This window comes from Homo sapiens, chromosome 15, assembly GCF_000001405.40.
Source record: "Homo sapiens chromosome 15, GRCh38.p14 Primary Assembly".
In the NCBI taxonomy this organism is placed as follows: Eukaryota; Metazoa; Chordata; class Mammalia; order Primates; family Hominidae; genus Homo; species Homo sapiens.
The window spans coordinates 51,866,157-51,893,389 of NC_000015.10; the positions used below are offsets into that span (position 1 = coordinate 51,866,157).

A 27,233-nucleotide genomic window follows, 5' to 3' on the forward strand; every position below is an offset into this window, starting at 1 on the left:
TGGTTAGACTGTTTTTGGCCGGGTATAGTGGCTCACACCTGTAATCCTAGCATTTTGGGAGGCCAAGGAGGGAGATTTGCTTAAGAGCAGGAGTTCCAGACCATCCTGGGCAACATAGCAAGACCTTGCCTCGACAAAAAATTTTAAAAATTAGCCGGGGGCATGGTGGTGCACACCTGTAGTTCCAGTTACTCCAGAGGCCTAGGCAGGAAGATTGCTTAAGCCCAGGAGTTCAAGGTTGCAGCAAGCTGTGATCGCACCACTGTACTCCAGCCTGAGCAGTAGAGCAAGACCCTGTCTCCCCCCTACCCAAAAAAAAGAAAGAAAAAAAAGGCTTTCTAAGGAGCCAGACCAAAAAGAAAGAAAGAAAAAAAAGGCTTTCTAGGGAGCCAGGATTTCAGCTATCATATTTAAGACTGTGTGTGTCACATGGGCTTGAGCAGGCAGGTAGAGTAGTGCAAATTCCATTACCACCACCATGAAATAGCAATATATACATCTATGCATTAATGATGGAGAAGGAAAGTAACTTTTTATTAATTTGCCTTAATGAGAATCTTTCTTTAAAAGCATTCTAACACCTTTATTCAGTAAATATTTGGGGGCAACTTGTAGACCCCAGGTACTATGCTAGGCTTAGGAATACAAGAATGAGCAAAACAAATGTGGTCTTTGCCCTCATGACGCAGGCTGGTAGGAATAGGAGCAGTTTGACATTAACCAAATAATCATACCATATTAAAAGAATGGTAAGTGCTACACACTGTAAGAGCTTGTGATGAGAGGTTAAGAAAAGCTTCCCTGGGGGAATGGAGCTACAATCTGAAAAATGAGTTGCAAAAAGGGATAGGCAGAGCATTCCAGGGAAGGGAGACCACACACATAGAGGCCTGGTGGTAGAAGGAAGTATATGGCAAGTACAAGAGAGAAAAAAAAGTCCAGTGTGACTGGAATGGAGAGGGTGTGTGAGATGAGGCTAGGGTGACAGACTGAGGGGCTGGTGGTGAAGGATAAAAAATATCAGGCAGCTGATCCAGGTGGGAAGCTAATGTAACAGTCTCAGCAAGCTTAGATCATAGTTTCGACCAAAGTAATAATGTTGGAGATGGGAAAAAGATGAATGAGTTCTTCAGGAAGTAAAAATGAGTAGGACTTGCAGGTCAATTGGAAATGGATTCTTCATGTGTAATTCCTCTCATGATTTCTAAGTCTAAAGGTAGAAATCTTATGTTTCTTTTTTATGTTTCCATAAACAATTTTGTATTACAGAAACATACTTGGTACAAAGTTAGGAATGTTTCGTCTTTACAGTTCAGCTTTCTGTGTAGTAGGTACCATTACATAAAGGGTAACACAGAAGTGAATTTTATGAAAATTATTATGTGTCTCAACAAATGACCACAGTTGAAGTGCTGTATTTCCTAGTTACAAATTGAATATTTTCTATTACTATTGCCCATATAAGATTACCCTTTATAATGAAAAATTGTCTTATACCACCCATGAAATTCAGCGTCACTGCCAATATTGGGAGGTTTTGCAAAAGAGAGCTGGCCCTTTTGTGTGATTTCTCTGGCTGCCTCCCATTTTCAAAGCAAAGATATACCCAGAAATATGAGACAAGGCAGTATCACCTCTTTGGCTTTTGACAAGTGAAAGGACGGTACTCACTTTGTCTAGTCAGCCCTTGTGTTTACTGGGCTTAGTGAAAATTAAGGGACTACAGGAGACAACTTTAATCCATCACCTTCCACTGCACCTCCCTCATCTCTAAGTCAGTCCATGCGCTCAAAAAGGCTGTACCCGTGTGGAAACCCAGGAACATAGCTCTTGCTGTGAGTATGTCAGGGGTCCCTTGGGGCATGTGAAACAATGATAGTGATTGTAGCAAGTACATCCTAGTGGTCATGTATATATGTACGCATACACACACAAGTGGAACATCTCACGTTGTGTTTAAACTGAAGTAAACATTAATCTGATATCCTACTGTATGGTATATATGTTGTAATCATGAAGAAGTCTGTACAATGAAATGGAAGTCATGAAGGAATATAATGTACAGAGTCATTTAAAACTCTTTTGTAATAGAATTATTCTCTGTACATATATATACACTGAGCAGTTATTAAGCATTAATAAAACTTTTTAAAAAAAACGTTTTAAGTTCAGGGATACCTGTGCAGGTTTCATTACGTAGGTAAACTTGTGTCATGGGGGTTTGTTGTACAGATTATTTCATCACTAATACCTGTTAGTTATTTTTCCTGATCCTCTACCTCCTCCCACCCTCCACCCTCCTCTATGCTCCAATATGTGTGCTTTATATGTCCTTGTGTTCTCATCACTTAGCTCTATATGTGTGCTCTATATGTCCGTGTGTTCTCATCATTGACTCCCACTTATGTAAGTAAGAAGATGTGGTATGTGGTTAATAAAACTTTTTTATTAGTATCCCAGAACACTTAAAAACTAAAGATTGTTTTCTGCTAGTAGAATCCTCTCTGAAGAAAATGTTCTATTAGAAAACGTATGCTGGGCGCGGTGGCTCACACCTGTAATCCCAACACTTTGGGCAGCCGAGGAGGGCAGATCATCTGAAGTCAGGAATTCTAGACTAGTCTGGCCAACATGGCAAAACCCCATCTCTACCCAAAACGCAAAAATTAGCTGGGCGTGGTGGCAGGCGCCTGTAATCCCAGCTACTTGGGAGTCTGAGGCATGATAATCACTTGAACCCAGGAGGCAGAGGTTGCAGTGAGCTGAGATCATGCCACTGCACTCCAGCTTTGGGGATAGAAGGAGACTGTCTCCAAAAAGAAAAGAAACTGTACTAATGTATGTGCCTATTTTAATAATAATGTAAGTGAATTCTACCTAATAAAAAAGAAGTTTAATGTTTGGAGCAATTGTACATTGCTGTCCTAAAATCCTGCAATGAAGTGTTTAGTGCCTGTATCACATTCCAGTCTGTAATTCTTTTTTATATGGGTAATCTTCGGAAGCATATAGCATTAGCATTCTTATTGGTCATATTGGCTGATTCATTCTCTCTGGCAGAATGCCCTTCTGCCTGCAGGGTTCCGGCAGAAGAACCAGACATCAAAGTCCACCACAGGGCCATTTGATAGAGAGCATCTCCTTTCATATCTGGAGAAAGAAGCATTGGAGCATAAAGACAGGGAAGACTATGTGCCCTACACTGGAGAAAAAAAAGGTAAGCCCCAGAATTTTAAAGTCATTATGTGGTAACACTTGATTTTTCTTTTTATAGGTGGGTGTGGAGAAAATCATATTTTTAGAGGTACATCATTGGTAGCCTTAAATATATGATACTGTTGACTTAGACATTTATTGGTTTAGATACTTTATTTACATTTTTCATCAACTTGGTCAATAAGTTTCTTCTTAATGATGTTAGTGAGGTTTTATTACACAATGATTTTGAATAACATTCTTTAATTCTCTACTATAACAGATCTAAAAGTATATTGAAGGAAACTTAAAATTCAGTGGTAGATTACAGAGTACAAATGATGTTAAGGCATCTATTCTAACTGCATTCTTTAAAGTGGAATGCCATAAAACAATTCATGCCATATTTTCAAAGACCCTTTTAAAAAGCTATTCTATACCCATCATTATTAATTCATGGTTATGATTGCTAATGCTTCATAATCAGTAGTTTTAGGAAATTTTTCTAGTCCAAGTCTCCCCCATTTAAGTGTTTGAGCTTATGTATTCTCAGTGGAGCCTGAGTACGGCTGTGGTTGTTTTTTTGTTTGTTTGTTTGTTTGTTTGAGATGGAGTCTTGCTCTGTTGCCCAGGCCGGAGTGCAATGGTGCACCCTCGCCTCACTGCAACCTCCGCCTCCCGGGTTTAAGCGATTCTCCTGTCTCAGCCTCCTTAGTAGCTGGGATTACAGGTGCACACCAGCACGTCTGGCTAATTTTTGTATTTTTAGTAGAGATGGGGTTTCACAGTGTTGGCCAGGCTGGTCTCGAACTCCTGACCTCAAGTGATCCACCCACCTAGGCCTCCTAAAGTGCTGGGATTACAGGCATGAGCCACTGCACCCAGCCACAGCTGTGTTTTTAAAAGTTCTATATATAATAATACTTAAATGAAACAGGATAAGTTTTTCAGCTTTCCAAACAGGTCAGAATACAGGTTGGCCTAAAAAGCCAAATTCTACGTTCACTCTTACTTGGAATACTGTGTATAGAATACTGGGGAATGGTGGCAGCAGTAGCAGAGCTGAAGATCAGCTCTTGCAGGCACCATTTTTATGTCTGAATTCATATTAGTCCAGGCAGGAAGAATGGGACTTGGGCTTTTTATTTGAGAAAGAGGCCCTTCTCAATCATTTTGGCCAGAACTGTGTCACATGGCTACCCCTTAGCTGCAAGGGAAGCAAGAAAGTTCATTTTAGCACTCCAGCTTCTATAGTAGAGGAAGGCTTGTGAATGGCTATTGAGTAGGTAAGCCGTAAGCTCTGCACCTGACTTTTCTAAAATTATCCATCACCCCAGCCCCTGTGCTTTTTCTTTAGAGTCCTCTTCCTCTTCATCTCTTGTTAAGGATCACTATCTTTGTTATTTAAGTTAGTCAGGGTTCTCCAGAGAGACAGAACCAACAGGATGTGAGGGGAGAGAAAAGTTTATTTTAAGGAGGCTTTTTAAATTCAAAATCTAGCAGCCTGGAGACCCAGGGAAGATTTACTATTCTTGTCCAAAGGCAGTCTAGTGGCAGAATTTCTTCCTACTTTGGGGAGATAAATCTTTGTTCTTTTAAGGCCTTCAACTGATTAAATGAGGCCCACCCACATTATGGAGGTTAATTGGCTTTACTTAGAGTCTGCTGATTTAAATTTTAATCTCATCCAAAAAAAAAGCAAAAAACAAAAAACCTTCATGAAAACGTTTAGAACAATGTTTGAGAAAATAGCTGGGCACCACAGCCCAGCCAAATTGACACATAAAACTAACCATCACGCTACTGTTACAGGTGGGAATGTCATGTCCCTCAGGTGTTTGGGGCCAGAAAAAGAGTTCAAAACCAATGCAGAGTTTTGAAGTGTGGAGAATCATAAAGACAGGCAGAGGCATCTCTTCCTTTTTATTTGTCAAAGAAAACTACTGGTTATATTTTCTCTGTGCAGCCATACGTATGTCAGTGTTTATGGCTTTAATCCTGCTTAAATAGAAGAACATAATTTTATGAGAAAAAATACTGGTTGATCACCTTCTGTTATTCTGCGTGTTTCAGGTGGACCCTGGGGGTATAATTTGGAAAGGAATGGAGGTAGAAACAAAGCGAGAGATGTGAGAAAAAGAGATGTCAGAAAAAAACTATGGAATTTGAGGATAAGAAGGAGAAAAAATAAGAGACCTGAAAGAAAGCTGCATTTGTCCCAGGCTAACCCCGGAAGCTTCCTAATATGCCCTTGTTTCATAATCTCCAGTTACCTAGGAAAATATCTTGGAGGATTAGAGGAAATAGGAAAGAAAGCAGAGAAGAATTACGGAAAATAAGAAAATACAAGAGGGGGAAAAGGATAGAGGTGAGGAATATGGGTGACATAGGAAAAAGTGCTGTATCCTCAACTATGGTAGAATATCTTTGTCCTCCTATGTATCTTTTAAAATTTTTACTTCTTACTTTAGGTTTTAGATGGGTAAGAATAAATGGAAGTAGTTGAACAAGTAATTTTACATTCACAATCAGTGGTTTCTCTTTATAATACATTCGGTATTTTTACTGCCTCTTTTAGCTACATATGTCTATTAAATATTGTTTATGGGCAGCTCTGATGCAGTGATTAAGATGATAGCTTTTTTTTAATAATGAACTTTTTGTTACTCAAAGAAAATGCACAGGTCATCTGTATGTAGCTCAGTGAATTATAAAATAAACACACCATGTAATTACCATTCAGGTAACGATAACATCAGCAGCCGGACGCGGTAGCTCAACGCCTGTAATCCCAGCATTTTGGGAGGCCGAGGCAGGCGGATCTCTTGAGGTCAGGAGCTCGAGACCAGCCTGGCCAACATGGTGAAACCCCGTCTCTACTAAAAATACAAAATAGCTGGGCATGGTGGCATGCACCTGTAATCCTAGCTACTCAGGAGGCTGAGGTAGGGGAATCCCTTGAACTCAGGAGGCGGAGATTGCAGTGAGCCGAGGTTGCTCTACTGTACTCCAGCCTGGGCGACAGAGTCGAGACCCTGTCTCAAAAAAAAAAAGGTAACATCAGCACCCACTGAAGGCCCTATCATGCTCCTTCCCAGTCACTTTTCCCTTTCTTGTGAAAGGTAATTACCAACATAGTGTCTAATACAATAGTTAGTTCTGTCTGTTTTGAACTTTATATCGATGGAAACATACATTCCGGGCATCTGGCATGCCTATGTCATATATTTTTTGTGAGGACCAAATTTGTTTTTTTTTTTTTTGGTTTGGTTTTTAGAGATGAGGACTCACTCTCTTGTTGCCCAGGCTGGAATGCAGTGGCACTGCAACCTGGGACTCCTGGGCTCAAACGATTCTTCCACCTTAGCCTCTAGAGTAGCTAGGACTACAGGCACATGCCCCCACACCCACCTGAGGACCAGATTTATTAATGGGTACACTGAAATCACTGTAAAGGATCATATGGGAGATGATTACCGAACAAGAGATTTTCATTCTCTGTCATGGAGGAGCGGTCCAGAACAACCATGGGATGAATTTGTGAGTTTCATTAATCTATCTGATGGAAGCACATACTATCAGATGTGGTAGAATCAAGCCTTATAAGCCATGTCACAGTACCATGGACCTGAAGGAGGGCAAATTCCTCTTCAACAATCAAGCAACTTTGGCTGTAAAGCTCTGCTTTGAAATATAGCAAAAAGCCACCTCTAATGTTCTGAAATCCACCCTAGACTCTCATCTTTAAAGCAGTTAGCCTTAGTTATCCTTAGTCACGAATATGCCTTCCTCTCTCTTCATCTCATCTCCAGGATCCTGATCACGTTCCAGAAGGTCCTCAGAGTAATTCATCTATGTCTTATTAGAATACTTCCCATCAACCTAAATGTTAATCTCTGTAGCTCCAAAAATCCAGAAGCTTGTTTTTTAAAGATAGCTCTCCTATGACTCTGCCCTGAACACCTGGGTTGAGTCTCAGATTTTTTACTTAATAGCTTATTTTAGTGGAGATAGACTTTCAGATTGAGGATGCTTTCCCAGGCAATAGAGGTTTTCCTGGCTCTTCATAAAAGTTTGCAAACCTACCTCTATTGAGAAACAAAGGCATTTTACTTTTTTGGTACATTTAGATTAGTTAGAATCCATAAGATGTTCTCTTGGTCTCTAAATGATTTTTTCATTCAAAGATGACTGGCCTCAGGGTGCAGTACCTAATGGCAATATTAGCCTTCTGACCAGGGAATGTTGTAGCAGTGTCATTCAGTTCCTTGAACTCTTTCCAAATTATATGCCAAAATCACATAGTGAGCTCTCATCGTAAATTAATTATTTTAAAGGATCTATCAGATGACTGCTTAATTTTTTTTTTTTTTGGAGATGGAATCTCACTCTGTTACCCAGGCCGGAGTGCAGTGGCCTGCCACCACACCTGGCTAATTTTTGTATTTTTAGTAGAGACGGGGTTTCACCATGTTGGTCAGGCTGGTCTCGAACTCCTGACCTCAGGTGATCTGTCTGCCTTGGCCTCCCAAAGTGCTGGGATTACAGGTGGAGCCACTGCACCTGGCCGACTGCTTAATTTTTTCAAAAGCAAAAACTTGGGAACCACTAAAAGGATTACTTACCTAGTCATTAGACTATTTTCTTATATTCTGAGACTGACAATTAATTATACTTCTTATTTTTTCACTTAAAGGCAGACTCTGTTTCTGGAGCCAGAATTACACATAACTGGCCAGGACAGGAGGGAATCCTCATAAAACCAAAAATTTCACATTTAGTTTTTCCTTTTGACCAATATAAAAGTAAATATTCATGCCAAATTTTATTTTCTAGATTGCTAAAAAATGTTTTTTAGAAACCTGATAGACTGAGGACACTTAAGAGTTATTATATGTAAATCCATTAATAATTTCACCTCATGATTTGTGAAATGATTATATGTTTTACAGAATTGAAAGCATATGTCAATATATGAAAAGAAGAAAGTAATCCTAATTAAGTGAAGCTCAAGGCCTTATGTCTTACATGCATTTAGGGGAGTATTTTGTCCTATACTGGTGAATATTTTACTTTTTACCTCTTCCTCCTTAAAATTTTGCAGAATGTATAACTGAGACATAGGCCAGCACAGGAGTGAAAGAGAGTATTCATCCAGCTTGTTCTCGTTTGGAGAATGGTGAAAATTCTCAGTGCTGATTATTAGTTCCCATCATATTTTTACATAGCATGCATATTCTGTCTCAAAGATAGATAAGGCATAGAACCTTGTCATGAATTTATCACTTGAAGAAATACTGTGTCCCAGTCTTCAGTATTTTTTACTACCTGTCATTTTGTTTTGTTTTGCTGGGGACTCCTCCTCTCTATTGCTGGTATCATGCTCCGCCCTTACCTAGACTAAGAATTTTTTTTCCCTGTGTTATTTCACGGATGGACCAGAGCCATGGCTGCACCTTATATCCTATACAGAGATGTGCATTCTGATTCTGTTTGAGCTGCTGACTCACCCGGTATGGGCTCCTCCCTGCCTTGCACCGCACTCCTTTTCTTCCTGCTGGGCCTTGGGGTACAGCCATTTATGCTTTTTGGTTGTTTTCTCTTTTCCTATCCTGAGAATGGAATGCCCTTTTGTTCTTTCCCAAGAATTCCACATGCCCCTCCCTGCTTTTTTAAAGGTAAATTTAACCCAGTTGCCTTAAACTAAGGACTTCCCATATGCTGTCCAAGTTATTTATTCACAGTTATGTTAGCTTTCCAGAAAACCTCCTCTTTCTCACCTTTCTGAGTATGTGATTTCTTTGGAGGAAAGACAGACCTGATCCCTTAGTAAACCAGAAAGATCATGATTATAAACCTGCCTACATCAAGAGGATTACATAACCACCACTGGGCAATTGGTTTCCGCTAAGTCCAAAGGTAAAAACTGGCTCTTATTTTTGTAATCATATTGTATGAACCCTAAATGTCCCTTGTAGACCTCTGAAAAGTGGTCTTCCCAGGCACTGAAGCTGATATTTGAAATGGGCTATTTACATTAGTCATGCAGATGCTGGCATCTCCTTTTCAGACCGGTCATGCAATATCATTTGAATGATTCACTGTTAACTCCCTTGGGGTGAGGAGTTAGCCAGATGGACGGCTTGTTACTCATGTTAACCGGTTTCATGGGGAACATTTCCTGGATAACTACACCCACTCTGGATAGTTCCTTTCCTCCAGCATTTCTCCATATGATTTACATACCGTAAAGTACTGCCTTTTTTTTTTTTTTTTTTTCCTGAGACAGAGTCTTGCTCTGTCGCCCAGGCTGGAGTGCAGTGGCGCGATCTCGGTTCACTGCAAGTTCCACCTCCTGGGTTCATGCCATTCACCTGCCTCAGCCTCCCAAGTAACTGGGACTACAGGCAGCCGCCACCATGCCCAGCTAATTTTTTTTTGTATTTTTAGTAGAGACAGGGTTTCACTGTGTTAGCCAGGATGTTCGCCATCTCCTGACCTCGTGATCCACCCACCTTGGCCTCCCAAAGTGCTGGGATTACAGGTGTGAGCCACCGTGCCCGGCCTAAAGTACTGCTTTTAGTTGTTTCAGAATCTTGTACTCTGAGGCTTTGTTGCTACTTGTTTTTAGGATTGTTATGTCCCCTTGATGAATTGTCCCTTTTGTTATAATGAAATGACCTTTATCTCTGGTAATATTCTTTGCTATAAAACCTACTTTGCCTGATGTTAATAGAGCCTATCTTTCTTTATTTTGATTAGATGTCATGGTATATCTTTTCTATTTGTCCTGTCTGTTCTTTGATGTTGTTGTTGTTGTTGTTGTTGTTTGTAAGAGACAGGGTCTTGCTCTGTTGTCCAGACTGGAGAGCGGTGGCATGATCACAGCTCACTGCAGCCTCAAACTCTTGGGCTCAGGTGATTCTTCTGCCTCACCCTCCTAAGTAGTTGAGACTACAGGCATGTGCTACCACACCTGGCTAATTTTTAAAATTCTTTTTAGAGGCGGGTCTTGCTATGTTGTTCTCAAATGCTTGGCCTCAAGCAATCCTTCCACCCACCTCAGCCCCCTGAGTACCTGGGATTACAGGTGTGAGACAGTGCACCCAGCGCTTTTTTTTTTTTTTTGAGATGGAGTCTCGCTCTGTTTCCCAGGCTGGAGTGCAGTGGTGTGATCTCGGCTCACTGCAGGCTCCACCCCCTGGGTTCATGCCATTCTCCTGCCTCAGCCTCCCGAGTAGCTGGGACTACAGGCACCTGCCACCTCGCCCGGCTAATTTTTTGTATTTTTAGTAGAGACGGGGTTTCACCGTGTTAGCCAGGATGGTCTCAATCTCCTGACCTCGTGATCCACCTGCCTCAGCCTCCCAAAGTGCTGGGATTACAGGCATGAGCCACCGCACCCGGCCCCAGCGCTTTTTTTAAAAAAAAAAATCTTCCGTCCAGGCATGATGGCTCACACCTGTAATTGCGGCACTGCGGGAGGATCACTTGAGGTCAGGAGTTGCAGACCAGCTTGGGCAACACAGTGAGACCGTGCCTCTACTAAAAATGAAAAAAAGTTAGCTGGATGCGGTGGTGTGTGCCTGTAGTTCCAGTTACTCCGGAGGCTGAGGTGGGAGGATGGCTTGAGCCTACGAGTTCATTGCTGCAGTGATCCATGCTCATGCCACTGCACTCCACCCTTGGCATCAGAGCGAGACTCTGTCTCAAAAAAAATAAAGAAAAAGTCTTCTATGCCTCTACTTCACTTTTTGAACATATGTAATATAATTATAGTAATTTTTAATGTCCTTACTTGCCAATTTTATCATCTATCATTGTTAAGTCAATTTTGATAGACCGATTTTTTTTCTTCTTCTGGATCAAATTTTCCTGTTTCTTTGCATGTTTGTAATTGTTTATTGGGTATCAAACATATTAACTTTCCAGTGCTGGATGTATTGATATACCTATAAATATTCTTGAGTTTCATTCTGGGGTGCAGTTAAGTTACTTGGAAACAGTTTGATTCTTTGGAGTCTTGCTTTTAAGATTTGTTAGGTGGGCCAGGCACGGTGGCTCACGCCTGTAATCCCAACATTTTGGGAGGCCGAGGCAGGTGGATCACGAGGTCAGCAGTTCGATACCAGCCTGACCAACATGGTGAAACCCCATCTCTACTAAAAATACAAAAAAATTAGCTGGGTGTGGTGGCGGGCGCCTGTAATCCCAGCTACTAGGGAGGCTGAGACAGGAGAATCTCTTGAAACCGGAAGACGGAGGTTGCAGTGAGCCGAGATTGCACCACTGCACTCTAGCCTGGGCAACGAGAGCAAAACTCTGTCTTAAAAAAAAAAAAAAAAGATGTGTTAGGTGGGACTAGAGCAGTGTTCAGTCTAGGGCTAATTATTTCCCCAATACTGAGGCAAGACCCTTCTGAGTTCCCTACCCAATTGTGAGCCTTGTGAATTGTGAGCTTTTCCAGTCTGGCTGGTGGGAACAGGTTCTATTCCCAGCTCTGCATGAACATGGGCATTATTACCTCTAAGCTTTCAGAAGTTTTTTTTTTTCCCTTGGCTCAAGGTAGTTCCTCACATACATGTACCAGTCGGTGCTATGCTGAACACTCAGTGTGACCCTCTGCACAACTCCTGGGCTCCCTCTCTGTGCAGTTCCCTCCTTTCTGGTTCCCTATCCTTCAAACACTGGCTGCCTTGGTTTTTCTGGACCTCAGCTGTGTCTGCAGCTCAGCATTCACCAGGCTCTGCCTGAATTTCTGCTCCCTGATCTGCAGCCTGGAACCTTTCTCCAGACAATAAGCTAGGTAATCACAGGGCTCACCTCTGTTTTTCCCATATCATAGGGATCACTGTCCTTTGTTGCCTGATGGCCAGTGTCTTGAAAACTGTTGTTTCTGGCCAGGTATGGTAACTCATGCCTGTAATCCAAGCCCTTTGGGAGGCTGAGGCAGGAGGATTGCTTGAGGCCAAAGAGTTCAAGACCAACCTGGCCAACATAACAAGAACCATCTCTTTAAAATATATGTGTGTGTGTGTGTGTGTGTGTGTGTGTGTAAAACTTGTTTCATATATTTTGTCCATTTTAATTGTTTCAGGCATGTGGGTAAATTCTGTCCTTATTACCCCATCTTGACATAGGAACCTCCAGAATAGGATTCAGTTGCTGTTCTATTTCCCTGTTAAAGTATTAACTCCCAAAAGTGAAGGATCTCTTGTTTTGTTTTCCTTATGGTGTCTTTCTAGTTCATTGTCTAGTATATACAAACTCACTAAACATTTGTTAACTAAGCATTTATTGGTGACCATGTTGCAGCATCAAGCAGGTGTTGTGTGTATCATTGGATCAAAACAAAAATGTCTTTCTAGGCTGTGTCCCCTCATTCTTTAGTTTGATTGGTTTGAGGTTTTTGTGCTGCTTGTCAAACAACATATCACAAAGCCTCTTGGAGATTATAGTGGAGTAGTGTCCTTCAATCTTTTCTGGAACAAGGCAGTTTATAAACAAACAGTAAAGTTAGCTAGGGCCTTTCAACTCTGTAGGAATGAAGTAACCAAGAGCCACCTCTGTTTCTTGTTATTATATTTTTTATATACTCAGCAAGGGTGGGAGCTATGACTAAGATAATTCTTAACATTTGTTGCAGCTGTAACTTGGTATCAGAGCAAAAGAGATAAGGACTAGTAAAGAAAGGTCCTGGCAATGGAATTGTTAACATGGATCACAGTATTTCTTACTGATTTTGTGACAATAACAAGGATCTTGGCACAGGATATTTCTTTTTTCTTGGAACACACATGAGTTTGGATAAGTGCCATACATTTAAATTACTGTTATATGAATTCTTATCTCAATGTCTTCCATTTCCTTAGCTGCTGTTTTGTAGTTGCAGAAACATTGCTAAACTGTTTCAACGCTCTTAGCAACCAAGGTTCAGCCTTATTTTTGTTTGTTTTGTGTAACTTGGGGGTGGGGGATGTATCATTTCATACTTATCTGAGAGTTTTTTTTTTCTGATCTCATCATTGTTTATTTTTATAGTTTCCTACTAGGTAAAGAATTATAATTTCAGTTTTTAAAAATTTGAGTTTTGGATTTTGCTATCTTAAATAAGGAAATTACAGTCATTTAGATAGAATGCTATCTACTGAAAGGTAAAAATGTTTTCTTAGACATTATGTTATTTTAAAAAATGGAAGTAGTAAAAGTCATAAATCTGGATTTTTTTATTTTTGACCATATTTCAAGCAGAAGAAAAAATTAGATCAACTCAGGATAACTCATCTTCATCTTTTAGGGACTGATATTATACAGATTAGTGGTTACCAACCTAAATGAGTAAGAATTAGAATCACCTTTGGAGCTTTTTCAAAAATACTCATGACTAACCAGTCTTCATTTTCTGAGTTTAAGGAACACTGACAGAGATACTTGGGACTATGTGGTCTTTAGTCTTCCTAGGTTGCTAGTTTGTTTTGGCAATCTCTTTCTCTCTCTCTGTCTTTCACACACACACACACACACACACACACACACACGAAGAAGAAATTCTAGGAGCAACAAGAATAAGGAATTAATGTGTGTCTATTATGTTTCTCATCCTGCAAGACATTGAGAGCACAAACCAAACTAACCATTATAAGGGAGATCTATTGAATTTATCAACATCTCATAGTCACTAAGATTTTAAAATCTAATTGATATTGATATAAGACTAATTTAAATTAATACATGTTTAGAAAGGTATTTTATGTCATATGAAATTATTCCAGCAGTTTGCTAGTTAGATGTTTCTCGGGAAACAGCTGATTTTGATTAAGAAGTACAAATATACTGTATCTGGCTCAATTTGTCTCAGAAAATTATCTTTTTTTAATCTTCACATTTCAGGGAACCAAATATAAATTTACTGAAGACCAAAAAACCCATACTAATAAGTCAGCTCCTTAGTGGTTTTTGTAAACATCTTTATTAGTAAAGGTGATATAATTCCCATATCATAAAATTTATCAATTTAAGGCATATAATTCAATATTCATTACTACATTGATAGAATTATGCAACCATCACCACAGTCTTAAGTTTAGAACATTTTTGGAACCCCAGAAAGAAACCCTGTGCACGTTAGCAGTAAGCCTTCATCCCCATTCCATTCCCTAGCCCTTGACAACCACTAAGCAACTTTCTTTCTGGATTTGCCTAGTCTGGATATTTCTTATAAACAGAATCATACAATATGTATTTATGGCTGACTTCTTTCACTTAGCATAAGGTTTTGGAGTTTCATCTTGTTACAGTGTGTGTCAATACTTCATTCTTTTTTATGGCTGAATAATATTTTATTGTGGATACCACGTTTTGTTTATCTGTTTCTCAGTTAATGGACATGGGTTGTTGCCACTTTTTAGCTGTTGTGAATATGCTGCTATGAACATTTTTATACAAGTTGTTATATAGACATATGTTTTTATTTCTCTTGGGTATGTGCCTGATAGAATTGCTGGATCATAAGGTAACTATTTTTTAACAAATTGAGAAACTGCCAAACTTTTCCAAAGTGGCTGCGGTATTGTACCTTCTCACCAGTAATGTACCAGGGTTGAAATTTCTCCACATGCTTGCCAACACTTGTCTGTTTTATTGTAGCCATCTTAGTGGGTGTGAAGTAATATCACATTGTGGTTTTGATTTGCATTTCCCTAATAACTAATGATACTGAGTATTTTTTCATGTATTGTTAGACTCGTGTATATTTGTTTGCTTTTTGGAAATGGAGTCTTGCTATGCAGCCCAGGCTGGACTCGAACTTCTGGGCTCAAACAATCCTCCTATGTCAACCGACCGAGTAGCTGAGATTACAAATGTGCACCACCATGCCCAGCTATACATATTCTTTGTAGAAATGTCTCTTCAAATCTTCGCTTACTTTTAAACTGGGTTGTCCTTTTATTATTGATTGGCAAGCATTCCTTATATATTCTGGATAAAAATTTCTTGCCAGATATATGGCTCAAAAATGTTTCTCCTATTCAGCAGATTATCTTTTCACTTTCTTGATGGTATAATTTGCCCCACAAAAGTTTTTAATTTTGATGTAGTACAATTTATCTGTGTTTCTTTTGTTACTTATACTTTTGGTGGCATATCTAAAAACCATTGCCTAATTCAAGGTCACGGAGATACAATCTTTCTTTATTTCTTTTTTTTTTTTTTTTTTTTTTTTTTTTGAGACAGAGTTTTGCTCTTGTTGCCGGGGCTGGAGTGCAATGGCACAATCTCGGCTCACTGCAACCTCCGCCTCCTGGGTTCAAGCGATTCTCCTGCCTCAGCCTCCTGAGTAGCTGGGATTACAGGCATGCACCACCATGCCCAGCTAATTTTTTTGTATTTCTGGTAGAGACAGGGTTTCTCCATGTTGGTCAGGCTGGCCTTGAACTCCTGACCTTAGGTGATCTGCCCACCTTGGCCTCCCAAGAAGATATAATCTTATGTTTTTTCCTAAGAGTTTTATAGTTTAGCCCGTACATTTAGGGTTTTGTTTTTATTTTATTTATTTATTTTGAGATGGAGTCTTGCTCTGTCGCCCAGGCTGGAGTACAGTGGCGCAATCTCAGCTCACTGCAACCTCCGCCTCCCAGGTTCAAGCGATTCTCCTGCCTCAGCCTCCCGAGTAGCTGGGATTACAGGCATGTGCCACCACACCTGGCTAATTTTTGTATTTTTAGTAGAGGCGTGGTGTCACCTTGTTGGCCAGGCTGGTCTCGATCTCCTAACCTCAGGTGATCCATCCGCCTCCGCCTCCCAACGTGCTGGGATTACAGGCGTGAGTCACCATGCCCAGCCTATTTAGGTTTATAATCTATTTTGAGTATGATGTGAGGTAAGGATTCAGCTTTGCATATGAGGGCCAGGAGTGGTGGCTCACACCTGTAATCCCAGCACTTTGGGAGGCCGAGGCAGGTGGATCACTTGAGGTCAGGAGTTTAAGACCAGCCTGACCAACATGGCAAAACCCCATCTACTAGTAGTCCCAGCTACTTGGGAGGCTGAGGTACGAGAATCGCTTGAACCCAGGAGGCAGAGGTTGCATGGAGCTGAGATTGTACCACTGCACTCCAGCCTGGGTGACCGAGTGAGAGACTGTCTCAAAAGAAAAAAACCAAAAACAAAAAACTTTGCATGTGATTGTGCAGTTGTCGTAGTACCATTTGTTGAAACACTGTTCTTTCTCCATTGAATTGTTTTGGTATTCCTGTAGAAAATCAGTTGACCATAAGTATAAGGGTTTATTTCTGGATTTTTGGTTATATTCTATTGATCTAAATGTCTTTCTAGTCCACCAACACTGTTTTGATTATAGTAGCTTTGCATTAAATTTTAACATTGGGAAGTGTAAGTCTTACAACTGTGTTCTTGGCTATTCTGGGTTTCCATGTGAATTTTAGGATCAGCTTGTCACTTTCTATAAAAAAAAAACAACTGAGATTTTGAAAGGGATTGTGTAAATCTATAAATCAATTTGCTGAGAGCCCCTTAAGTTCTGTATTCGTAATGCTAAACTTAGGTCCTTCCTAGTTTATCCTTTCTTACAAAATTAATTTCTTTACTTCCACTTTTCTATAACTAAGCTTTGTATATATGCATTAAAAGATAACTTATTACAGTGTATTAGTGTTCAACTAACCTGGAAGAAAATATGAAGTAATTACTTTTTGTATTTTAAAAAACACAATATTGTACAAGCTAAATACCTCTATGGCAAAAATCTCTACATACAGAAAAATTATATAAAGAGGAGTGCCAGAAGAGGTGCCATGCTATGTCAGAACTCTATGAAATCAAGCAAAATTCTATATGACAGAAAAATTTTTCTAGGTCCTTGGGAGTTTTGTTTTGCCTTATTGATTTTTCTGCTGAGATTCATTTTGTATTTGTAAGCATTAGCAAAAATTTATATATGGGGGGAAATTAGGTACGAATAATGCCTTTTAAGGAATGTGGATAAGGATTATAAAAAAAATAAGCATCTTAGATTTTTATGATGCTTTAGATTCCATCGGTCCCTCAAATAAGACATGGGCAGCTATTTGATAGCTTGTTTAGTTTTTTTTTAGTTAGCAAGTAAAAATTGTGTTGTTTATAGTGTGTAACTTTTTTTTACATGTACACATTGTGGAATAGCTAAATTAAATTTGACATACATATTAGCTCACATACTGATCATTTTTTTGTGGCAAGTAGCTTGTATAGTTTTGTTTAGTCAGTGAATACCATAATCCAGTTGCTGTCAACCTTGGCTGCTATGCATCAGAATCCCTGGAGAGCTTTAAAAAATTCAGCTGCCCATGCAGCATACAAGATTAACTAAACCAGCATCTCTAGAGTGGGGCTTGGACATGAGAATTTTCTAAAGCTCTCACAGTGAAGCCACTGTGCATATAACATTTAGAACTACTGCCATACACAGTTGAAAATACTGGTAGATTGAGCTCAGGAAAATGTAATTATCCTGAAATGGCAATTAAAATTATGCCCCCCTGAAATGTATACCACTTTAATTGTAATCTCAACCACTATGAAAAGTATGGAATTATCAGGACATAATGATTTGGATTTCTCTTTACCTGTGAACCAATAATAAAAGATTAATCACCAGAATTCCAAAATTTGATACTAAGATCGATGGGCATTTGTTTGGGGGAAGAAGTCTGTTGCTAAAATAAATCAAGTTTGTAAGCCACCAGTTAACTGGAAAAAACACTGAAGCCCTGGCCTTAAGAGTTTGGCAACCTGTGTTCTAGTATTAGCTGTGCTGTGTGACTTTGAGCCCATGTATTTAAATTACACTTTATGAAATGGGGCCATTGGACTGAAGGTGATCACCAAATTGTTTATTCAGCAAATTGGATTACCTGTTGTGTTCTAGGCAAGGATGCAGGGATGAACAGAACATAGAGCATCCCCTTGAAAAGCATGCAAAAGGCAAACACATGTGCAGAATGTCTAAGTGTAGCTATAGTGAAATGTTCGGGGGATTAAGGGAATACAGAAGTACTTTATTTGATTTCAGTTTGGGACAGACACTATAGTTGCCCATTGAACAACCATTCACAGATGCTTGCTTTCCTAGCCACCCTTGCCGCTGGGCCATAGACCAGAGGAAAAATCTGCAGGGCAGAATTTCTTGTAAAAGTTGACAATTGAGGCTGGTCCAAGTGCAGTGGTGTTTACAGCTAATTGATCACAGTTACAGATTTCTTTGTTCCATCTCTACTCCCACTGCTTCACTTGACTAGCCTTAAAAAAAAAAAAGTTGGCAATTGAGAAAGTACTCCTTCCTGTTCTGGCTTTATTGTGTGGGGATATAATACTTGGTGCTATAAAGGTCATCTTGAGACTGTGAAGGCCTAAGAACAAAGGCCTCCACACTGAGAATGGCCAAAGAGAAAAACAAAGGAACCTGGATCCTTGATGTCAACAGTGAGCTGCTAAACCAACCCTAGAACCACCTTCCTGTGGGCTTATTAAGTGAGATAATAAAACTTCATGTTGTTTGAACTCTTATTGCTTTAAGAGTGGTCTGTGGATCAGCATCATCTGGAAGTCTGGTTAGAAATGCAGAAACTCAGACCCCAGTCAGACCTGCTGCATCAGCATCTACACTTTAATTAGATCCCCTGGTGACTAACATGCACATCAGAGCTTTTGAAGCACCAGTTTAAACCAACTTTAATTGGGTATTCTGTTCTATGCAAGCTTAGTAACCCAAGTTGTGTGAGTACATCTTGTTTGGTCAGCTAGTGCTGCAGTTTATAATTATTATCATTTTTCCATTCCTTTCATATTTTCAATCTTGCATGGAACATATGGTCATAAACATGATTTTCATATGATAAAGTCTTTAGGTTTCTAGAGTAACTAGTTTCTTTTTTCTTTTTTTTTTTTTTTTTTAGTATTTATTGATCATTCTTGGGTGTCTCTCGGAGAGGGGGACTTGGCAGGGTCATAGGACAATAGTGGAGGGAAGGTCAGCAGACAAACATGTGAACAAGGGTCTCTGGTTTTCCTAGGCAGAGGACCCTGCGGCCTTCCGCAGTGTTTGTGTCCCTGGGTACTTGAGATTCGGGAGTGGTGATGACTCTCAACGAGCATGCTGCCTTTAAGCATCTGTTTAACAAAGCACATCTTGCACCGCCCTTAATCCATTTAACCCTGAGTGGACACAGCACATGTTTCAGAGAACACGGGGTTGGGGGCAAGGCTATAGATTAACAGCATCCCAAGGCAGAAGAATTTCTCCCAGTACAGAACAAAATGGAGTCTCCTATGTCCACCTCTTTCTACACAGACACAGCAACAATCCGATTTCTCCTTCTTTTCCCCACATTTCCCCCTTTTGTATTCGACAAAACCGCCATCGTCATCATGGCCCGTTCTCAATGAGCTGCTGGGTACACCTCCCAGACGGGGTGGCGGCCGGACAGAGGGGCTCCCCACTTCCCAGACGGGGCGGCCGGGCAGAGGCGCCCCCCACCTCCCAGACGGGGTGGCTGCCGGGCGGGGGCTGCCCCCCACCTCCCTCCCGGACAGGGTGGCTGGCCGGGCAGGGGCTGCCCCCTACCTCCCTCCCGGACGGGGCGGCTGGCCAGGCGGAGACGCTCCTCACTTCCCAGACGGGGTGGCTGCCGGGCGGAGGGGCTCCTCACTTCTCAGACGGGGCGGCCGGGCAGAGACTCTCCTCACCTCCCAGACGGGGTGGCGGTCGGGCAGAGACGCTCCTCAGTTCCCAGACGGGATGGCGGCCAGGAAGAGGCGCTCCTCACTTCCCAGACTGGGCAGCCAGGCTGAGGGGCTCCTCACATCCCAGACGATGGGCAGCCAGGCCGAGACGCTCCTCACTTCCCAGACGGGGTGGCGGCCGGGCAGAGGCTGCAATCTGGGCACTTTGGGAGGCCAAGGCAGGCGGCTGGGAGGTGGAGGCTGTAGCGAGCCGAGATCACGCCACTGCACTCCAGCCTGGGCAACATTGAGCACTGAGTGAGCGAGACTCCGTCTGCAATCCCGGCACCTCGGGAGGCCGAGGCGGGCAGATCACTCACGGCCAGGAGCTGGAGACCAGCCTGGCCAACACGGCGAAACCCCGTCTCCACCAAAGAATACAAAAACCAGTCAGGCGTGGCGGTGCGCGCCCGCATTCCCAGGCACTGGGCAGGCTGAGGCAGGAGAATCAGGCAGGGAGGTTGCAGTGAGCCGAGATGGCAGCAGTACAGTCCAGCCTCGGCTGGGCATCAGAGGGAGACCGTGGAGAGAGAGGGAGAGGGAGAGGGAGACCTTGGGAGAGAGAGGGAGAGGGAGACCGTGGAGAGAGGGAGAGGGAGAGGGAGAGGGCTAGAGTAACTAGTTTCTTAATAGCTAACCTTGTTCGTGTACGTTGAGGCTTAGAGGAATAATGACCAAAAATTTCAGAATACCACTCAGGACATAGAAATTTGTTTGCAATCAGAATTTGAATTTATAGAATCATAATTGTCTCTGCTATCCCCCATGTGACAATAACAGTTTGTTGCTTAATAATAAGAAATTGGGGCCAGGTGCGGTAGCTTACATCTGTAATCCTAGCACTTTGGGAGGCCAAGGCGAGTGGATCACCTTAGGTCAGTAGTTTGAGACCAGCCTGGCCAACATGGCAAAACCCTGTCTCTACTAAAAATACAAAAATTAGCTGGGTGTGGTGGTGCACGCCTGTAGTCCCAGCTACTCAGGAGGCTGAGAGGCAGAAGAATCACTTGAACCCGGGAGGTGGAGGTTGCAGTGAGCCAAGATCACGCCACTACACTCCAGCCTGGGCGACAGAGTGAGACTCCATCTCAAAAAAAAAAAAAGGAAATTGGATTCTGTTTTTTTTTTTTTTAATCTCTTTAAAGTTTTATAGGTTTTTTGTTTATTCCTTCATTTATTGATTGATTCAGTATTTGTAAAGCAACTCGCAATTACTCTAAAAAGAGCCCATTTTTATTTCCACAGATGAAAAATTTCTCAGTTGACCTTTTCTTTCCAACTTTTACAGCCAAAATATTACGCTGGAAACTTAAAAATCTATGTCAGAGATAAAACAAAATTACTGTCGATGTTAATCTTTTCCTTCAGGTTCAGTTGTACATGCTTTGGTTACAAGGATAAAATGGTAATGAGTTGATAGCAGTAGTAATGGAATTAACAAAATGCTTTATTTTACAGGGAAAATATTTATCCCCAAACAGAAACCTGTACAGACTTTTACAGAAGAAAAAGTGTCTCTTGATCCAGAATTAGAAGAAGCTTTGACAAGTGCTTCTGATACAGAATTGTGTGACCTCGCAGGTATCACCTAAAACAAGTTAATTTGTGAATAAGTGTGGGGTGGAGTGGGAAATACCAGCACATACCTATATACATTATACAAACGTTTGCTTTACCTAGCAAGTACTGTTAAATCAGTAACCACATATTTGGCTTTATATTTTACACGGTAAAGCTGACGTAAAGAGTTTCATTTCTCTAAATACTCTCAATAGCAAAATGTTTATATTAAGAAAATGTATTGTATTGTTCGACATCTTTTCCCATGTTGTCATATTTGAAAGTCTTTCTAAAAATCTTTCATCACCTGGTGCTCAGCTAGAAGCTGTCCTATCTGAACACCGAAAAAGAGTCTTCAGGGTCAACCGCTGACCTACTTTATCAGAAGACCGAGAGATGAGTAACTAGAAAGTAGATTGAAACAGTCAGTCCTGAGCTATACTCACCACCTTCCCAACTTTTCTGAAGTGTATATGAAACACTCCAAACGTCTCTATTATTTTCATTATTGTCAATTTCTTATCTAGACCAGTATCTTCCCCTCCCTACCCATGTACAATCTACTTTCCTAGATAGAAAAGTGTGATGCATGGGGAGTTCTTCAAACCAAATAACCCCAGGAACTAATAAATTTGAATGTAGCACTGATGGTTCTTTGGAAAGGACCTTGGAAAGGGACAAGTCTAGGTGTGACGCCACAGCCACAGCAGGAGTCTTACGGGTTGAGGGACTGAAGACTGACAGATCTGTAAACAGTACATTCACCAGAGTGGAATGAGCCAAGGACATCCTCTGACTTCTGCCTTATTTGTGCACAAGGGCATCAAAAACTAAAACCAAATTTATTTTTCCTCCTAAGTGTCATTTTTGAAGGGTGTTCGTATTCTTACATACGAGAACCTAATACTTTAGTATTCTACTCTTAACTACAGTCCAAGTGTAAATTAATGACATGAGATTAACACACATTAAAATATGAAGGTTAAGTTAAAAATCTGCTTTTTGTCATATTATGTTCCTAGAAACCTTGTGAAATTAATGAACGGCAAAAATAGATCATTTCCATTTTCTCTCTTAGCCACTAGATGGAGCTAAGCATAGATTTATGTTCAGGATTAGGCTGCCTCCAACTCTGAATTTGGAAATGTGGGGAAATGTAAATTTAGAAATGTGGGGGAAAATAATAAGAGTATTGAGGAGAATGAGATTATAGGTGATTTTTAATCATTTTGTTTTCTGTGTGGGTGTGTGATCTGTAATTTATAGGAAAAGGTCCAGAGGATATTAAAATTATTGATAGAAATTTTTAGTTGTAAAACTCTTCATGTTTAAAACAATAAAAACTTTCTTTTTCTGTATTTATAGCAATTCTTGGGATGCACAATTTGATAACGAATACAAAGTTCTGTAATATAATGGGAAGTAGTAATGGTGTTGACCAAGAACATTTTTCAAGTGAGTACTTAAAATGCTTTGTGAATTCTAATCCTTTATTAAATATATTTTGTTTTCGCCTTGTGTCAGCTTAAGTGTTCACATACTAGATGTTATATATATGTACTTGAAACCTGACATTTCAGTTTGGTGGTATTAACCAAGAAAGCCATTGAAAATAGAGTATTAAATATTTTGTGTTTAATGGGTCAGCAAATGTAATAAGAACCACTCTACCTCACTAAATAATGCTAAACAGTATAAAAGCTAGTCCAACTTGGTTTTGTTGACATTTTATTATCACTACTACTAATTTTCAAGAAATACATAACAGTACTTACAAAGAAATTACATTATAAAATCAGATTCAGGAGATACCACAAAACTATTCAGCCCCTAAACCTTTCAGTCTGATGTGAAGTATTATATAGCCTAAAGCAAAGCTTTTCAGAAACTCATTTATAGGGGCCAGGTGTGGTGGATCATGACTGTAATTTCATTTTCTGAGGCTGAGGCAGGAGGATTGCTTGAGTCCAGGAGTTCAGGACCAGCATTGGAAACGTAGACCCCCATCTCTAAAAAATTTTAAAAATTAGCTGGGCATGGTGGCACATGTCTCTAGTCTCAGCTACTTGGGAGGCTGAGGGGAGGATGGCTTGAGCCCAGGAGCTTGAGGCTGCAGTGAGCTGTGATCACACTACTGCACTCGAGCCTGGGCAACAGTGCAAGACCCTATCTCAAAAAATAAATTCATGTATAGGGTGTTCTTAAATTAGCAAGGTGATACATGCCTTTGTAGCACATTTAAACAGTACATAAGTATTTATGGGAAGAGGTAAAAGTGTCTCTGTCTCCAGCCATCATGCCCTCTACTTCCCCAAACACCACCTACCCTGTTAACAATTTTGTATATACCCTTCCAGGCTTTGCACTGTTTATACTAATGTATACATATTATACATAGTCTCTTATTTTTTACAAAAAATCGATTATACTGTAAATATTTATTGCAACTTAATTTTTCAATAATAATTCTATTAGCTAATTTTTTTTTTTTTTTTGGAAACGGAGTCTTGCTCTGTCACCCAGGCTGGAGTGCAGTGGTACCATCTTGGCTTACTGCAACCTCCGCCTCTCAGGTTCAAGCGCTTCTCTTGCCTTAGCCACCTGAGTATCTAGGATTTGACAGGTGCACGCCACCTTGTCCAGCTAATTTTTTTTTTTTTTTTTTTAGTAGAGATGGGGTTTTGCGATGTTGGCCAGGCTGGTCTCGAACTCCTGACCTCAGGTGATCTGCCCACCTCAGCCTCCCAAAGTGCTGGGATTACAGGCATGAGCCACTGTGCCTGGCCAACTGTTTTTGAATGCTTACTGTGGGCCATGTTGTGTGCACAGCTCTTGGACGTGAAGTACTCTTATTAGCCCTGACAACAGTTCTATGAAATAGATATTATTATTTTTAATTTGCATGTGAGAAAGCTGACATTTTAAAATAATTGGGTAACCTCAATATTTTACACAAAGTCAGTGGTAAGGATTTTAACCCGTGTTATATAGTGTATCACTTAGCAGTCGACCGTGTTTTCTAGTTAATATGTATACATCTACATCATTCAGACATGTGTATAACATTCCTTTCTACGATGTTTTGTAATTTGACCATCCCCCTTCTCATTTTTAAGTTTTTATTGTAGAAATGTTCAAACACACATAGAAGAAGAGAGAATAATATATTCATTACCCAGTTTCCGCTGTTTTTAACATTTGCCAGCCTTGTTTTATTCATCTTCTGTCTCCCTTCCTAACCCTTCTACTTTTTTTTCTTGACGTATTTTAAAGCAAACCCTGTTCATTTGTATTACATACCTATAAATATTTCCATATGTGTGTCTCACAAATAAAGGCTTTTCTTTTAATGTAATCATGATGCCATCATCAAACTTAAAAATTAACGGTATTTTCTTCATATCATGTAATACCCAGTCTGTGTCCAGATTTCCTCTGTTCTCTCCAAAATGTCGTTTCATGATTGGCTCAAAAAAGGTTACACACTGCATTTGGTTGTTTGTCTTTTTAGTCTCCCTTAATTTCTTAACAGTTCTCCTCCCCAACCTCTTTCCTTTTTTTTTTTTTTTTCTGTGCCATTTATTTTTTAAGAAACTGGGTTTATTTTTCGTAGAATTTTCCACATTCTGGATTTGGCTGATTTCAACCTTATGGTATCATTTTATGTTTTTCTATCACCTATGTTTCTGTAAACTGTTAGTTCTAGTGGCTTGATGAGATGCAGGTGCAGGTCCCTTTTGGCAAGAATGCTTCATGGGTGGTGACTGAATCATATTAAGAAGCTTATGAAGTCTAATCCTTCCTCTTTGGGGGAATGAGATTGATCACAGGGTTCAAATGTAGGCAGCCTGACCCATCCTTTTTAAGTTTCCCATGAACCTTTTGCTTAATAATTCCTGCATCCCATTGACTGGATTCATTATTTCATTAAGGGGCAAGGCTCTTAAGATTTCTCTCCCCATTCCATCTTTCCCCACTCCACAGGATGTGTGGAATGGGGAAAGAAATCTTTTGGTTTTATAAAATTAGAACTATTCAATTTTCCATTCAATGAGGAAGTTCTTCCCTAGCTATCTTGAAGACTACCTTGCTGAACTTAAGTGAGAGGGATCCCACTCTCTGTTGTTTAGCAGAGCTCCATTAGGAAGCTTTTCCTTGTCTTGAACCAAGTTCTGCTTCTTGGCAATCTATACTTGTTCTAACGCAGCCTCTCAGAACAGCACTAAATTTGTCTCTTCTCAACTTCTACAGGATAAATCTGAAAACAGCTAGGATAACTTCTTTTAATAGGTACTTCTCCAGACTAAATATATTCAGATTTTTCACCTGACCTCGGGAAAGTAATTTTCAAACCTTCATCTAAGTTGATCTTCTCAAGATGCTGTGTGTGTGTGATATTTGAAAGTAACAAGATACTCTTAGATGGAATTTATTGGATAATCAGTGCACCCTGTCTCAAGATGAGTTTTGCTGCTAAAATCTAGAGGAAGGCAGGAAGGAAAAAAGCCAGATAGTAGTCCATTTTGAACCCGGTCAGTCTTTCCATGTCAATTGCTCTTACTCTTTCGTGCTCATTCATTAGTTTGTGAGCCTTTTGTGGTCTTTGACTTGAATGACCACAAAAAAGTAATGTTTTCCCCAGAAAATGTATCCATAAAAGTTTACCTATTATAGGTGTTCGTAGACCTCCACACACATGCATCAGAGCACAGTGATCTCTTTAAAGGGCTCAAGGATTTCAGGTCCTCTGTCGTTCACATCTGAAGCATCATATTCCTGTGTGGGTAGCTGAGGTAAAGATTAGGGAGTGAGAGTGAGGGAGGGCAGTAAATTTTGGAGCCTCTGTCTCAGTAGCTCTTCTGTGTACCTTTACCTCCTCTCCCTCTCTGCTCCTTATTCCTACCCTCTTTCCTATTCCTTCTTTCTCGCAGGAAGTTCTCCCCACTTTCCCACTGCAGAGTACTCCTCGTGGGAGGAAGAGGTAATGTGCCCTCCCATCACCTTATTCTTCTCATTTAGGCTATATTTCTTTAAGTCTGTGATTCTTACTGCCTTTATGCCAATTATCAGTCAAATTTCAGAGAAATGATGAGATGCTAGATTTTATCATACTATTATTTTATCTTAAATTTTGCCAAAAACAAATGGCATCATCAACTTGTGCTATCAAATATATTTGAGTGGTAAAAATATCTTGTAATATACTAAGACAATGAAAATATTCATTTTTGAAGACTGATACATGGCAAACAAATTAAATGTTGAATATGTTTGGTATTTATATTCAGTAAAATTTTATTTGGGTGCTTTAAATATGTGTCAAGGCCAAGCGCAGTGGCTCCTGCCTGTAATCCCAGCACTTTGGGAGGCCAAGGCAGGCAGAGCACTTGAGGCCAGGAGTTCAAGACCAACCTGGCCAACATGACGAAACCCATCTCTACTAAAAATACAAAAATTAGCCAGGCATGGTGACACACGCCTGTATTCCCAGCTACTTGGGAGGCTGAGGCAGGAGAGTTGCTTGAACGTGGGAGGAGGAGGTCGCAGTGAGCCAAGATCTTGCTACTGCACTCCAGCCTGGGTGGTAGAGTAAGACTCCATCTCAAAAAAAAAAAAAAAAAAAAAAAAAAAAATTAAATAAATAAATATGTGTCAACACATAAAGGATCTTTTCGGAATTGTGGGGATGGAACTTTTAA

At 40.3% G+C, this 27,233-nt stretch overlaps 1 protein-coding gene across 1 annotated transcript in view, besides 1 other annotated feature; it reads left to right on the forward strand.

The window, feature by feature from the left end:
* The window catches only part of TMOD3 (tropomodulin 3), an 86,073-nt gene that overhangs the window by 36,504 nt on the left and 22,336 nt on the right, over window positions 1-27,233 (forward strand). Inside the window, exons 3-5 of the mRNA NM_014547.5 lie at window positions 3,061-3,217; window positions 21,433-21,555; window positions 22,900-22,989. Coding sequence (NP_055362.1) covers window positions 3,061-3,217; window positions 21,433-21,555; window positions 22,900-22,989 — 370 coding nt within the window. The remainder of the gene's footprint in view (window positions 1-3,060; window positions 3,218-21,432; window positions 21,556-22,899; window positions 22,990-27,233) is intronic.
* Window positions 20,004-20,769: an enhancer, noted in NCBI's record as "H3K27ac hESC enhancer chr15:52178357-52179122 (GRCh37/hg19 assembly coordinates)". NCBI's record gives its function as "activates a minimal SCP1, AML or CMV promoter by ChIP-STARR-seq in primed H9 embryonic stem cells {active_cell/tissue: H9 hESC(primed)}" and the evidence as "EXISTENCE:reporter gene assay evidence [ECO:0000049][PMID:30033119]".